At 50.6% G+C, this 14,063-nt stretch overlaps 3 annotated features.

The window, feature by feature from the left end:
- Positions 371 to 1,570: an enhancer, noted in NCBI's record as "BRD4-independent group 4 enhancer chr1:4170302-4171501 (GRCh37/hg19 assembly coordinates)". NCBI's record gives its function as "activates an origin of replication core promoter dependent on BRD2, P300/CBP, MED14 and CDK7 cofactors, and independent of BRD4, by STARR-seq in HCT116 cells {active_cell/tissue: HCT116}" and the evidence as "EXISTENCE:reporter gene assay evidence [ECO:0000049][PMID:35650434]".
- Positions 8,605 to 9,109: an enhancer, noted in NCBI's record as "H3K4me1 hESC enhancer chr1:4178536-4179040 (GRCh37/hg19 assembly coordinates)". NCBI's record gives its function as "activates a minimal SCP1, AML or CMV promoter by ChIP-STARR-seq in naive H9 embryonic stem cells {active_cell/tissue: H9 hESC(naive)}" and the evidence as "EXISTENCE:reporter gene assay evidence [ECO:0000049][PMID:30033119]".
- Positions 9,110 to 9,612: an enhancer, noted in NCBI's record as "H3K4me1 hESC enhancer chr1:4179041-4179543 (GRCh37/hg19 assembly coordinates)". NCBI's record gives its function as "activates a minimal SCP1, AML or CMV promoter by ChIP-STARR-seq in naive H9 embryonic stem cells {active_cell/tissue: H9 hESC(naive)}" and the evidence as "EXISTENCE:reporter gene assay evidence [ECO:0000049][PMID:30033119]".

Raw genomic sequence — 14,063 nt, forward strand, 5'->3', positions numbered from 1 at the left:
GGGGAGTTGCTGCTACTTCTGGCTCCAGGACCGGACATGGGACTGAGTTCTGGCCCCCCAGAGCATCACACTCATGGCCACAGTGAAGGCTTTGGAGTGGGCACGTGCTCCAGTCACAGTCGGCCAGATGCAGTGGGGCTGAGCCTCGTCCTCTTGGGAAGGGGTATGCATTTTTTTTTTTGTCCTGGTAGTTGGAATGTTAAGATGACATGAGCCTGAAGAATCAGTGCGACCAAGTGGAGTGGGGCAATGAGACCAACACAATGGGAAGGAAAAACCAAGAGCTGGAGAGAAACAGTTCTGCAGAGCCTGGAGGTAAGGCTACACCTGAAGCAATGAAGAAAGACCACCTCGGATTCCTCCTTTAAGCAAACACATAAGTTCCCTTTTTCCCTAATGCCAGTTGAGTTGGGTTTTCTACCACTTGACTTTGGAAAGGTGCTGATTTTTAATACAAGGCCAGGCTGGGACCCGTGTCTGTAAATGTGAGCTCATGTACGCACGTCTGTGTTAAAAAGGAATCAGACCCAGACCTTGTCACAAAACATATAATCTGGCTAGGGAGGCTAAATGTAGCCACGGCAAACCAATAGTTACCTCTCCCAGTAGGAAGTTCTGAAACCTCAGCGGGGACCCTCAGGGGTTCAAGAAGGGAGCGACTGTGGGAATTTAGAGAATTCAAGAAAGACCGTCTGGAAGAGATGGATTCTTGTTCCTGGATGGCATCAAAACCCTCTATTTTTGTTTGACACTCCTAAGAAACTTCACAAGGAGGAGTAGATCCGAGTCTTTTGATATTCTCAGCATGCTTATGTAATCCTGTTTAATTCCTGGCTCCAGCATTTTTCCTATGAAGACTCACTAAGGTTGAGCACTAGGAGAAAAGTCCTCTTGGATCATCTTAAAAGAAACAATCTTTTCTCTCCATTTTCAGGCCTTTGCATCAAGACCAATTTAAAAACAAATGCCCCATTGAAGCCTTCTCTGACCTCTTAGGTGAAGGGCAAGGTCTTCCTCTTCTGAGTTCCTGCCAAGCAAGAGGTTGAACCACGTGAAATATCTGTATGTTTTATCTGTACCTGCTGGCGTGGGAGCCTGTGGAGGGCCAGGCCCTGCCACGTATCAACTTCAATGCAAAGCAGCAGAGACTCACTGATGGCTTCATAGGCAAAGGGCTGTCCTGTGGGAAATATGTGTCTCAAAGCAGGTGACCAGGAGGGTGGGGCCTTCCATGGGCGGATGGTGTCTACACATTGGATACGTCTGCATTACTCAGAGACCGGACTGCCCCCCCAGACATCTAGCAACTCAGGTTAAATCCTCAGATACAGAGCAGATGCCCCTTTAGCAGGCTTTTCAGCATATCTTTGGGCTGGAGGGACTGTTCGAGAAATACCCTGGCGGCACATCATGTTTCTGTCCCAGAGACCTTTTGGAAACAATTAGTCTTCCTCCAAGACTAATTGAGCTGCAGACGAGTCAGGTAGCTAACACGACTTGAGGTTTAGAAAAGAAAAAACCTTTCATTAACATGTGGAAACTTCTAGGGCCCTGAAGAGGATGTGGGCAGAAACTCACATGAATGCAAGATCCTCTATTTTCCCAATGACTCCCTCCTGTAAACTGGGGACTCCTCTGGTGCATGGGCAGGTTTGTGTTCTTCGGGGATGTGGCAGATGGAATGGGCAGACTGAGGACCTCACAGCAGAAATATCAGGACATATTCAGGTAAAGATCCAGCAGAAGAGAAGATAAAGCTTCTTTGAAAGTAAGCCCAAGGGAAAACGGAATTCAATACAAATGAAAAAGAAGTTGATGAAAGTATGTGTCAGTCAGGGCAGCTGTTCCTTAAATCGAGATCCAAATGCATCAGAGAAAGGCTTCTGGGGGAGCCTTGACAAATCCCTCAAGGGGGAAGGAATTCCTAAAAAAAAACTCCCTGGCACGGGAAGGTTAGGGGCGAGGAGAGCATCTCATGAGGATGACTGGCTGGTGAGGAGGGTGAAAAATGAGTTCTGGCCCAGCCTGGAGCTCTGTGCCTGGGTCCAGAGCCGGAGGATGAAGAGGCTGCAGGAATGTGCTGACTGAGTGGGGAAAGGAGAGTTGAGAGCTTCTCCAGCCTGCTGTGTGAGTGGAATCCAACCTGCTTCAGGTTGTGGGTGATTCTGGGTGTGAAAGAGGCACAAGGAAGCCGTGGAGGGCAGAGAGGAGGACTCTTGGTGTCAGGAGGAGCTGATCAGCTTCAGGAATTTCTGAAGCAGATTGCTAATCACCAATGCCCACCTTAGAGGCCATTCTCACAGTCAAGAACAAGGAAGGGTGTGTGGCACGTTGCTGAGAAGTGCCTGTGTGTACCAGCTCTTGAGTCTCTGCCCCTCCTGTTCCTATCTCAACCATGCCCTGCCCTTCAGTGGCACACAGAGGACTCCAAGAACAACACTACCCCCTTGGCAATAGTTGATTTGTCCAGCAGTGAGTGCCTCACCCAAGCTAGGCCATCACATCCCTTCCATGGCAGCTTTGGATTTGGGAAAGACAGGGAAATTTGAAACAGTCTCTCTTTGGGTGGCTGAAACAGTAACACATCAAACACCAAAGCTGTTGAAGTCCAGAGTTTCTTCCATGAGGTCTGGGAAGCAAAAAAAGGACCAATCTGCAGCAGGAGAGGAGACTGAAACAGATGTGCGCAGAGAAGCATGAGGTATTTCAAGAGGTGACCCAAGCACTCTGACTCCTGGATCAAGCCGTTCCTGAAGCCCATCATAATCCCTGCTCTTCCCATTAACTCTTCCTTGAATTTGGTGAGATCCCTCAAGATCCTTCAAAAAACCCTCTTTTAGCTTTAGTGGGCTGGAGTTGGGTTTATTTCAGGCGTCACTTCAGAAGGGAAGGAATAAGTGGGGAGATGAAAACCTCTAGCGAACGTGGCTCCCTAGCTGACTCACAATACCCATCTCCCACTCTCCTGACTAAGATGATGCTTTCTTCATTCCATGTCTAATTCCTCTTTGGTTCTCAAACTTAGTCCAGTCACCTGGCTTGGAGATCTCAGAAAGCCTGTGCTTTGAGAAGCCAGGTGCTGCCCACTTGAATTTAAAGCTTGATCTATAGTGTCCCTGATCTTTTTCCCTGATCCAGGGCCCAGAAAACCTTTCAAAGAAAGATGCCAGAGCATGGGTAGGTTCTGTCTGTCACAGACAAACCTAAGGGTCCCTCAGACTGGCAGACTTGGCAGACTATAGCCCCATAGGTAAATGTTCAAGGGATGTATGACCTGTGGAGGAAGGACTTAGAGAACTGCAGCTGGGCAAAGGCAGGGAAGAATGTGGTTGAGAGCACAAACAGCCTGGGAGGCAGCATTTCAAGGCTGGGCAGAGAAGTCTTAAGCACACTTGCAAGAGGCAGGAGTTTGAGAGAGAAAATGGATTAACCTGAACAGCCCCCTCCAGCATGAAATGTGCTCATAAACAGAGTCAGCTTTCAGTGGAGCTCATGAGGAAAGGTTGGAGGAAGCCCCAGGGAAAGGCATTGCTCAGAAAACTTGCCGGCTCCCAAGGCTTGCAGAAGTCTCTCCTTCAGCGCTCAGGACAGCACCATCCCCTTTGCAACTGGCGCATGAACCTATGCTACACTCAGGAAATAGTTGCAAGTCCCTGGAGGAAGATGATTGGAATCCTTAACTGCCAGAGTTGGCAATGACCTTCAAGATAATAGAATCCAGCGCTTCAATTTTCTAGATGAGGAAGCTTAGCTGAGATGGGGGAGGTAACTTTCTCTGCATCATGCTCTTGGTTTGTGTCAAAGCAAGAACTAGAATTCAGGCACCTAAGGTTTCCACACATCTCCTGTCTCAATATGCCAAATGGATGCCCACTCATCATCCATCACCCCACACGCAGCAGCATGGATATTTACTGAAGGAAGGAGGATGGCCATTAAGAGTAGCAATGTGGGTTCTGCATCTGGTGTGTCAGTGACACTGAGTTGGGTAAGGATTTTTAACCACTTTTGACCTCAGTTTCCTCATTTGTAAAATGAAGGAACTATTACCTATACCTATGTAAGTTGGCTGTTATGAGGATTTAATGAGACCATGTCCGTTGAAAAGAAAAGTTACCCCCTACTTTGGAGGGGAGGAAACTGAGGTTCAGAGAAGTTTGGAAACATTTCCAATGACACTAGGGTAGCAAAGGTCAGAGGTCAGTTTGCTGTTGCTCCAAAGTTCCCTGAGTCATCGTTGATTTTTTTCCACTTCTTTTCTCTTTGTTGTCCAGGTTAGGTAATTCCCTATTGAGATATTTTCATGTTCCCTGACTCTTTTCTCTGTTGTCTTTCTTCTGCTATTGTGCCTGCCCAGTGAAGTTTTTTTTTATTACTGTGATTATATATTTTTTGGTTTTTATCTTCTGTTTCTTTACTGAGACTTCCTTTCTTTCTATTAGTTTCAAGAGTGTTTCCTCTTACTTGTGGGATAATTTTTATAGTAGATGCTTTAAAGTCTGTATGAAAATTCCAACGTCTGTGTCACCTTGGCATCTGTGTCTATTAAATTGTCTTTTCTCGTGGGTAGAGTTGTTTCTGGGTCTTTAGATGCTGAGTGATTTTGGATGCATCCTGGATATTCTGAATATGCATTATGGGTCTCTGGGTCATAATTAAATCTTATTGAGAATATTGAGAATCTTTGTTAATTTGGCTGGCTCTCATCTAGTTATGTTGAAGCCATCAGTTATGCCCAGCCTGCTGAGGGTCATGGTTTCAGCACCAGTTTGGTTTTCAGTCTTTGTATTTGGATCTGTCCTGCCTGTGTGCCACTCAGTGGCCAGCCTGGGACCCAGGACCTAGTCTGTCTCTTAGCTCAGATCTCAAAGTCCTTTTTCACAATGTATAGGATCAGATCCACACATGTGCAGCTTAGAAATAAGCCTAGAAGTTTTCCAGGCTCTCCCTCCTGCAATCTCCCTGGAATTTTCTGATTCCTTAGAACTCCCCTTTCAGCTTTATTTAAACCCTGCTGTGCCATGTACTTCCTGCAACTAATCCTTCCTGGAGCCAGAAGATGGGAGGACAAAGAGAGAATAAAAGCAATGGGGGTTTATCCCACTCTCTGGGGAGCACAGCGCCCACCTCCAATCAGAGAGGAAGCTTCTCTTGTCTTGAGGTTTTAGGCTCTTGTGGGCTCTTGCCCTTGCTCTTAATGTTGCTTCCACAGTGGGATTGCCTGGGGATTGGGGCATGAAAGAACAAAGGAAAGAAAAGAGAGGGAGATTTCCCCTGCTTTCCCTGAATGTTAGGGACTCCTTCTGCAAACCAGAGCTAGAGGGCTTTTCTGTAGCACCCTCTGTCCACATTATGTTGATTGTGGGTTATGGGGCTGTGTTGAGTCTAGACTGGGGGATACCTGAGGAAAATAAAATGGTAGCCTCAGTGTTGGCTCAATAGGGTGTTGAATCCTGGCCCTCGTCCTCAGTCTGCCTCAATCTGCGGCGGGGCTGCTGCCTGCATTCTGCTCAGGGCTCACAGCTGCATTCGGTGGAAGAGATGAGGGAAAAGTGTTTTCTCTGTTTACCCTCAGAGCTTGGTCTGGATGCAGATTTGCGTGACTTCAACATCCAGTTGTTCTCTGGAACCCTTGCCTCTTGTGTGTTCCCAGTGAGCCCCTGAGCTTCTCCATAGAAGAGGTAGGGGCACCAAAAATGGAATTGTCTTAGAGTGCCAAGGGCAGCCGTCAGAACACCTGCAACATTAAAAGTCTGCAGCCACTACCCGCCAGTCATAACCCGAGACTGAAACTGCAGCTCCTGCCCCCAAAGCTCCCTGTTAGGAGAGCAGAAGCTGTTGGGTAGAGCCACGCATACTCACGCTCGCAGGAAGCAGAAGCGAGAGGAAAGTTAAGCCCCAAGGCACACACGGCATTGATCAGACCCAGTGCCAGCGATGCAGATGCCCTTAGCCTGTCCGAGACTCTCCTGGCCACTCCGCAGTGGCCTCCGGTATTATTTTCTCCCAATTACTTATTTCCTCCGCTATTAGTTTCCTGGGGCTGCCATAATTAAGTGCCACAAACTGGGTGGCTTAGACTAGCGGTCCACAACCTTTTTAGCACCAGGGACCAGTTTCATGGAACACAATTTCTCCACGAATTGTGGGCGGGGAGATGGTTTCTGGATGATTTGAGTGCATTACATTTATTGTGCACTTTATTTCTATTATGATTACATTGTAATATATAACAGAATAATCATACAACTCACCATAGCATAGAATCCATGGGAGCCCTGAGCTTGTTTTCCTGCAACTAGGTGGTCCCATCTAAGGGTGATGGGAGACAGTGACGGATCATCAGGTATTAGATTCTCATAAGGAGCATGTAACCTAGATCCCTCGCATGCACAGTTCACAATAGAGTTCACACTCCTATGAGGATCTGATGCTGCCGCGGATCTGACAGGAGGCAGAGCTCAGGCAGGAAGGCAACCAACGAGAAGTGGCTGTAAATATAGATGGAGCTTTGCTTGATCACCTGCTGCTCACCTCCTGCTGTGCTGCCTGGTTCCTAATGGGCCACAGACTGGTACCAGTCTGTGACTCAGGGGCTGGAGACCCCTGGCTTAGGCGATAGACATTGATTCTCTCCCAGTCCTGGAGGCCAGACATCCAGGATCAAGGTGTCCAGGATCAAGGGAGGGTTGGTTCTCTTGAGGCCTTGAGGGAGCTTCTGTTCCGGGCCTCTCCCCAGCTGTTGGAGGCTGCAGGCATTCCTTGGTGCTCCTTGGCTCCTGGAAGCATCATCCCCATGTCTGCCTTTATCTTCTCATAGCATTCTCCCTGTGTGCACATTTGGGTCTACATCTCCCCCTTTTTTGTGGGGAGAGTGGAGTCTCGCTCAGTTGCCAGGCTGGAGTGCAGTGGTGCGATCTCCACTCACTGCAACCTCCGCCTCCCTGGTTCAAGTGATTCTCCTGCCTCAGCTTCCCGAGTAGCTGGGACTACAGGTGCCCACCACCACACTCAGCTAATTTTTGTATCTTTAGTAGAGACAGGGTTTCACCATGTTGACCAGGATGGTCGCTATCTCTTGACCTTGTGATCCGCCTGCCTTGGCCTCCCAAAGTGCTGGGATTACAGGCATGAGCCACTTGGCCTGGCCTACATTTCCCCTTTATATTAGGACACCAGTCACGTTGGATTAGGGGCCATTTGCAATGGTCCTGTTTCCAACTCAGATCACATTCTGAGGTCCTGGGAGTTAGGTTTTCATCGTATCTTTTAGGGGGACATAATGAACCTGTAACACCTCCCTTCATGCCCTGCTCATCTGAGGGCAGAGTGGGCTTTCATGCCACACTTCGCTTTGGGCTCAGCCATGGGACTTGCTTTGGTTAAAGAATATGAACCGCTGTGATGAGCCTGCTCCCAGCAGAAACTTTAAGTGTGCACAGGTGGTTTGGCCCTACCTGTCTTGCTCCTGAGAACAGTGAGCCCCAGGTCTGGGCACTCCTTCAGCCTGAGTTTTAGGAAAAGAAAGACACGCAGATCCCAACAGAGCCCAGCGGACAAGAGCAGGGCCGCAGCCAGTCTCAGCCATGGTGTGCGTGAGGAATAAACAACCAACCGCTCGTGGTCAACTCCTGAGATATTGGGATTGTTTGTCCCTGCAGCCGAAGCTGACTATTACTCTAATTACCTGCACAACTAATGGCCAGAGGGAACTACAGATGCTAGCTGAAAGCTGACATGACAAAAGTACTTAAAAACTCCATCACACACCTCAAAAATATTCTATTATTTTAAAATACCATTACTGCTAATAAGAGCTTAACGGCATCCACTTTGCCGTAATTTGATTAGAGATCCACATGGATTTACATATGTGAGACCTGACTTAATAATGCCTGTGAATTATTCAGAGGTGATTCCGCTGCAAAAGGCAGGGACGGCACGTCCTGCAGTGTGCCTCGCTAAGGGCCGGAGATTGCCTGGGATTCCTAAAGAGTAGGAGGTTCTGGCAGGGAACTCGAAAGGCACCAGGACATACGGCAGACCAAGGCCCTTTGTCTTGCCCTGGTCCTGAGCCATGACACTGTTCTAGGAACCCTATCATTACTGCCACCTCTTTGGAACTCATTTCTCTCAGTTGCCAGGGCGGCTTTGCTCTGGGGCGATTCAGATCTGAAGAAGGTTCATCTTCTAGCTCTTTGCCTCCAGGATTGCACTGGGAAGCCAGGCCTTTGATCCCACTGCAGAGATCCATCCAGAGGGCCTTTATTTGGACAGGGGTGATGTACGGGAGGGCTATGCACTGCTGGGTCTAAGTCGTGCCTGGCACACCGCATGGACTCTCAGGAAAAGCTCGGGAAGTGAGTGAAAATGCCTCTTACGTCTGTGTGTGCTCCTAGGTTCACAAAGCACAGGAGGCAGCACTTGGAAGTTTATTAAATCCTGCCTGTGTGAGCAAGATGCCCGGATGCCCCCCTCGTCGTGGAGGTGGCCTAGAAGGTGAATGGGATCCCAGGGCCATTGAGCTGGGACACCAGGATTCGAACTCAGAGCCCTCTCACTCTGAGGTCCTTCTGACAGCCATATGTGATGAGGAGATGGTGAGATTTTTAGGATACCACAAGGCCCTCCTGCCCATAGACTCTCCCCGCTGGCCCATGTGGCCTCTGTAATTCACACAGCTCGCCTCTTGGGTTCATGCCCTGAATCCACATTCTTACTCTACCTTTGCCATCCACAGACATTTTAGGAGGGTGGATCTGATTAGATGTTCACCACCCTGACAGGTTGGGAGGAGGATGGGGAGGTCCCGTCTGGGAAAGGAGGTAGGGTCGGGAGGTGGGGGGCTTCCCTTCCAGGTTGCAGAACTCTGCTCTGTGGTTCTGTGGCAACAGGGGACAGCAGAAGCTGAAGGCTCCTCGTGGGAACGAAAGAGGAAGATGAGACTGGCTGTAGAATGGAGGAAGGGGGCTGAGGGGGCATGGGGGGTGCCAAACCCTGAGGCTGTGAAGAGCAGAACTTCTGTGCCAGGGAAGGAGACAAGCCAGGTTCAAGGTCGGCTGGAAACCCCAGAGCCGTGCTGGAGGTGTCGGGATACTCTGCTTCTAAGGAAGGTGGTTGAGGGAGCTGGACAGCCCTGAGTGGGGGCTGAGCACTGACCCCCTCCTCACGGGTCCCGGCTGCTTCTCAGCCTGGCTCTGAGGGCCCCACTGCCTCATCCCATGCCCCCACCCGGTGTCCTGACCTAAAACTGCAGGGCAGCTGTGCTTGCTTGTGAATGAAGCCAGGCTGAGTTATTTCAAGAGCTGGCAAGAGTTTCCAGCACCCTGGCATCCAGATGGTCTTGAAATCGCTGATCAAAACCATCGGATAATGCACCAGTCTTAGAGGTGGTGGTGGTGGGGGGGCTTGTTAGGTAGAAGGACCTGGCCTTTGGAGTTGCAGCTGACCAGGAATGAAGGGGTTAAGAGAAATCACACCTCCCACTGGGAGGGCCCACTGGGGTGATTTGCAAATTAGGGCCAGTTCTCTTCTGTGTCTGCCCTTGATCTCAGGGTGACTTGTAGGAAGTGTTTTCTTGGCTTTGATTCCAGAGAGGTGTCAGTCGTGGACTCCTGTGCATGGTGTCTGCGTCTCCTGGGCCCAGCCTCATGCCCTGTCCTGGGCAGCTCTCCATCCACCGGAAGGACAGACAAGGGAATCGGAATGACAGTGTATCCAGGGAGACAGGCAGGAGGAGGGGCTGACTGAGGGCCCTGCCCAGGAACCTGTTGCCTCCAAAGACTCATTACAAGGAGCAGTCATGCAAGGTCCCCACCCCGCTCCCTGGAGAAAAGCAGGTGATGGAGGTGTATAGGTCAAGCTCAGCTGCTGCAAGGAGGAAAAAGTAGTGAACTTGGCATCGCGACTTCCACAGAAGTCATTTGCCTCCTGGGTTTCAGCTCCCCAGGGAGGTTCCTTGGGGATGAAGGCTTGGTGGAGACAGATGACTGGTCCTCTTCCTAGTTGCCTCCTTGGCATGGTACACACAGGAAATGCAGAGTGAGCATTGTCGGGGTGTCGTCACGGGGCTGTAAAATGCTCTGTCTCCGAGGTTACAGGACTGATGAGATGTGAACCTTGGGGCAGGACCCTAGAGCCCAGGCTGTGGCCCTGGGAGGAAGCCCCATTGGAGGGCCGTGGAAGATGGCTTGCTCAGCTCTGCCTGGTGGGTCTGTGACCATGCTGGAAGTCTGGGGGCTGTGGTAGATTCCTGAAGCTGCTAGAACAAATTACCACGACCTGGAGGGCTTAGAACCATGGAAATTGATTCTCTTACAGTCCTGGAGGCCAGAAGCCTGAAATCAAGGTGCAGGCAGGGCTGGCTGCTGGCCTCACCCAGCTCCTGGTCTCTGCCTCTGTCCCCACGTGGCTTCCCCCATGTGTACCCCTATGTGTCTGTTTTCTCTTCCTATAAGGACACTGGTCACGTTGGGTTAGGGTCCACCTTCATTCAGTTTGACTTCGTCTTAACTGATTACATCTGTGAAGACCTCATTCCCAAATACACTCACATTATGGAGTTCCAGGTAGATGTGAATCTTTGGGGGACACTGTTTTTTTTAAAATTATACTTTAAGTTCTGTGTGCTGGTTTGTGGGGGACACTGTTAAACCCAGTTAAAGGGGGCAGGAAACATGGGTTCTGACAAGCAGCCATGGATGCAGTCTCTTGTGACTTGACTTGTTCCTGGGCTTGTGTTTGGGTACTGGAATCAGAAAGTCCATTTTGGGGCTTCTTCCCAACTCTCTCTGATGGGGGCCCATCCCTTGAGCCCACACGTGCAGGCCTCAGGGTGGCTCAGGCAGGAGGAGCCTGGGATTCTCCTCTGTGCACGGAGCTGGCACTGGCTGCCGGGCTGAGCTGTCGGCCGCATCAGAATGTGTTTGGATCATGTCACTGAAGGCTCCTCTTTGAAACGTCTCAGGGAAGATCAATGACTAATTCTCACACGAGAGAAGCCCTCGCTCAAACACCACCCTTTGAGCTTGATAGTTCTCCACTCCGGCTTTTATGATCCAGATTAGTTTTCTTGAACTGTGGAATACAAATCGATACATTTCAGAGAAGTGTGGCACTGGTGGGACCCTCGGCCAAGCAGTCTTTTAAGCAAAAGCAGTACTCACCATTTTAGACACTTGGCAAGGCATCCGTGGCAGGAGGGCCCCTGGCAAGGGATACGGACTGACGGGGGCCCGATGGCAGACTTGATGGGAGAAGAGCTGTCCTCAACTTTTAATTGAGAAAGTGTCCAGGCCTGCTGGCCTTGCAGGTGGCCATCTTTCCATTTAGCAGGAGAAGCTGGAGGCTCAGCCCTGTGTTCCTGGGAGGCTAATTTGTTTGGACAGAGTAAAGGGATCTGAATTCAAATGTAATATATTTGAGATTAAAACCTCATGATGCCCCTTTGCAAACTCCAAGGCAGTCCCTGAGCTTGCTCTGAGCATTGGAGAGGGCAGGGAGGCCAACTAGAGCTGTGGGCTTGGGGAAGTGCTTGCAAGTTTTCTGTCTGGCTCACAGCAGGTGAGCTGAACCCCAGTGCTGCGTTTTGTCTCAGGAGTGTGGAGCGAGCTGGAAAAGTAGGAGTAAGTGGCCGTGAGCCTGGCACAGCAGCCGCCCTTACTTCCTGATTTGCAGAAACACAGTTTTGAGCATCCGAGGCCTCTCTTGGAAGATGTGTACTTCGTCCTTACACACCGTTTCGAGTCTGATGTGGTGAGTTATTATTTTCTCAGAGCAGGTGACTCCCCTGGGAATGTTTTAGAAGATGACTCTGCTTCTTATACTGAGAATGACTCTGAGAACTTGGAGCCAATCTCCTGGCGGGGGTGTGGTGGGGGAAGAGGCTCCTTGGAGCTGAGTGGATGGATGGAAAGAAACCCAGCGAAGGGACCCAGCTCCAGGACCCCGCTCTGCTCTCCCAAATTAGCTGGATGGCCTTGGGCAAGCCACTCGTCCTTTTCACGGCTCAGCTCTGTCATCTGTACCAGGACACCGGCCCTCCCTTCTGAGGGTTGCACGGTCCCCATGATCAGCAGTGGGGCCAATGCAGCTACACAGTCACCAGGTACCCGGTGCGTACCCTGTGGTTTCTGCATCTCCTTTGTGACAAATGGCCCGGACGCTGGAGGAAACATCGATTCTTCTGTGATGAGACGGGGGAGATGCCAAGTTTCTGCTGCAAATGACAACTGCAGGCCGGGCCAGAGAAGAGCAGGATCACCAGAGGAAGGCGAAGGCAGCCACGGCTGGGGCTGTGGTTTGTTTAAAATGTCCAGGGAAATGGATCCTGGCATCTCACTTTGCAGACATTTATTTTCAGAAGGCCATCTCTGTGCCGGGCTTGGGGCATCAGCAATGGACATGATGGATGTGCAGTGGGACCTCTTGGGGGTTGACAACAGGCAGAGGTAAGGGGCCTCTACTATGTGACCAGTATAGCGACCTCCTCCAGGCCTTGGAGCTGCTGAAGAATCAGATGTGCACTTCCCGAAGGGCCCGGGAGGAAGCTGCCCTCTGAGACAAAGGAGGAGGGTGGCGCATGTGTGTGCCTGGAGCAGCCCTGGCCGGCAGCTCCCTATGAGCCGAGAAGCTTCCAGGCTGGAGTAGAGTGTGATGTTCCTTCAGATTCTCTGTTTGGGAATAGGGAAGCCAGAGGCTTCCGGGGTACCCTCTCAGCCATGGGCACGATACTGGCTGCTGTGTGGGTTGGAGCAGCAGCTCCAGCAGCTGCCAGAGCCCCGGGCCAGCTGGGGAGGCGGGAGAAGGAGGGCAGCCTCCATTGAGATCCCTTGCCCCCACCCTTGAAGCAGGCGCTGAGGCATCTCTGTCCAGCTAGTTCCCAAGACATCACCTGTTATGGACTTAGCTGGGTCCAGAAGGGCTGACACCTGCTCATGAGAGCAGGTCCTTAAGGTTCTGGCTGGGTGGCTGCTGCCTGGGGTGTGAAGAACCTTGCAAAGATGACTCTGGAGGAAGACGCAGAGACCACTGTCTGCCTGTCCTAGTTTGCCTCCATGTAGTGACCATGACCACAGCGGCAGGTGCAGACTTTGTGTGAGCCTGAGGTGCACACTCCATGGGCAGGGAATGGTGGGGTGGCAAGGATGGGCCACACGACCCTCTCCAAACCTCCCTAAAATGGAAGGACTCTGCCTCCTGCCAGGAGATGACAGAATTCCTAGTTTGGAGCATGCTCCCTAGCCTGGACCTCCATGCAGGCAGGCTGGGCTGTTGTGCTCAGTGATTTCATACCTGGGATTCTGAATCCCATTATAAAGGGAGCTCGGGTGCATGAATCACCCTTAGTGAGGGCCACCAGGATCATGACCCATTCTCCGTGATACTTTGGCCATCAGGAAATACCTTTCTTTGTGGCGAGTGTCTGACATTTTGGTGCTGTTTGTTCCAGCAGCTAGTGAGTGTTTCTCTGACTAATACATCTCCCCATACCCTGCCTTTCGGAGATGGCAAGAGGGAGTCAAGGAAGATGAAGTGTCCAGTCTCCACAGCCCTGAAAGACCAGGAACAAGACCTGGTCTCATGATCTTCACTGGTCTGGAGGGAACTTGGGGTCGGCTTTGGCTCATCCATATTTTAAACAAGTTGTAGCTTCCCTGAGCCTCAGTTTCCTCAATTAATGGAAGGATATATATCTATCTTATTCACTCTGAGTTTTGTCTAAAAGAAGTTAATAGAAAAATGCAAAGAGGAAAGTAAGAAGGGCCCCCAAGTTGTCCTTGGAAAATAGCAGGTTAGGGATAGAGGGCTGGCAGTGCCACAGTCAGAATCCTCCTCCCACTGGAGCTCCGGGTACACGTGAGAGATGCCCCAAACTGCCAAGCCCCAGGGGGGCAGCTCAGGCCAAGGCATCTTTAATCTATGAGTCACTGTTCTGTCAGTCACAAGTAACTATGATTATTCCAGACCAGTTAAACACCACTTGTACTTTAATGTAGCCATTGAGTCCAACACTCTTAATTATTCTTCAAAAATTTAAAAGGCGCGGGCCAGACGCGGTGGCT

This window comes from Homo sapiens, chromosome 1 (assembly GCF_000001405.40).
Source record: "Homo sapiens chromosome 1, GRCh38.p14 Primary Assembly".
NCBI lineage: Eukaryota > Metazoa > Chordata > Mammalia > Primates > Hominidae > Homo > Homo sapiens.